Source organism: Homo sapiens, chromosome 12 (assembly GCF_000001405.40).
Source record: "Homo sapiens chromosome 12, GRCh38.p14 Primary Assembly".
NCBI classification, from domain to species: domain Eukaryota; kingdom Metazoa; phylum Chordata; class Mammalia; order Primates; family Hominidae; genus Homo; species Homo sapiens.
In genome coordinates, this window is record NC_000012.12 from 80,777,721 (window position 1) to 80,779,161 (window position 1,441).

The following is a 1,441-nucleotide window of genomic DNA, read 5'->3' on the forward strand; positions in this document are numbered from 1 at the left end:
CCTAACTTCTTTTCCAGTCAGGGCTCTCCTACAGAGTGGCTATCTTGGTAGGAATAAACTATTCACAGGTCTGGTGAGAGTCACAAGGGCATTTGCCAGTGTAAATAAGTTTCCTGTGAGAAGAACAATTGGACACGGGTCAGACACTTTAGCAAGTTAAGTATTCTGACAAAAGATAAAGGTCAGGATAAAAATGAAATTAGAGAAAAAAAATACAACTCAATAAATGTTAGCTGTTAAGTATAGCTTTGTCTACCCAAAATACTTCTCTAATTATCTTATTTCGGTAAAACACTGTTGTAGATTGCAAAAGCAGCCCAATTTTCTGTTCCTCTGTGTATAAATGCCTTTTACAATGATCAAGAGGTAGAGACTTTTCCCCCAGTTGCTGACTCTGGGCTGGGCTAGTGACTTGTTTTGGCCAATAGAATGTGATAGAAATTACATTTTGCCTGTCTGAGCCTAACTCTCAGAAGGTCTTGTGGACTTTTGCTCTCTCTTGAGATTTTTTCCTCTATTATGAGAACAAGCCCAAACTAGCCTACTGAGGGTAATAGACCATGGGGAAAAAAGCTGAGTCACTTCAATTGGAAGTCAGCCAACCCCAGAAACAGAGCTGCTTAGCTGATGTTCAATTGATTACAGGCACATGGGGAGGCCCAGCCAGTCAAACCCAGAACAGCCCGGCTGAGCTCAGCCTAATTCTGTGACTTTCAGGATGAGTAACAAAATAAATGATTCTTATTTTAAGTCAAAATTTTGGAGAGCAATCTTCCTCTTGTCAATGTCTATCTCAGTGCTATTTCAGACTCCTTTCGTACTGTCAAATCTCACTCAACTTTTAGCATCTATTTCAATTGGCATCTCTTCCAAGAAGATTTTTCTAATTTCCTCAAGTGATGTGTTATCTCCCCTATAATTGAACCCCATTTTGATATTTGTGTCCCTTTTTAGCTTTTTTTTTAACTTGTTTTCTATTAGAGGTGTTAGTGTCCTACTCATCTTGCTTTTCCTACAGCTAGTAAGTGGACATCCAGGAGGTACAAGGATATATCCCAGACCTGGCCAGTCATGCTACCATTTCCCATAATAATCTCCTTAAGAAGTGAGCACCAGACCCAAGTCATTCAGATACTACCTGTAAGATATAGGCACTGAGGGAAAGAGTCTGGTTTTTCTTTTAGATGAAGAGCTATAAGAATGGAATCGAGACTAGGAGAGGAACATCCAAAGGAGAGAAAATGACTGCAGTGGGAGAGAACAAGAGCTACGATCAAAAAGAGGAGAGACAAGCAGCACTGAGGAAGACAGAAGGGTAAGAAGAGGTAAGAATTCTATCAACACTGAGATACTGAGACCTGGATCTGTCCTGTTTTGGAAGTAATTGATTCTCTCTCTCTTTTTTTTTTCTTCTCAAGCTCAAGTGAGTTGTGTTTTGGTT

The 1,441-nt window shown here is 39.8% G+C and overlaps 2 annotated features.

The window, feature by feature from the left end:
- Window positions 1-1,200: an enhancer, noted in NCBI's record as "MED14-independent group 3 enhancer chr12:81171500-81172699 (GRCh37/hg19 assembly coordinates)". NCBI's record gives its function as "activates an origin of replication core promoter dependent on BRD2, BRD4, P300/CBP and CDK7 cofactors, and independent of MED14, by STARR-seq in HCT116 cells {active_cell/tissue: HCT116}" and the evidence as "EXISTENCE:reporter gene assay evidence [ECO:0000049][PMID:35650434]".
- Window positions 445-674: an enhancer, noted in NCBI's record as "active region_6689". NCBI's record gives its function as "activates an Ori minimal core promoter by ATAC-STARR-seq in GM12878 lymphoblastoid cells {active_cell/tissue: GM12878}" and the evidence as "EXISTENCE:reporter gene assay evidence [ECO:0000049][PMID:35858748]".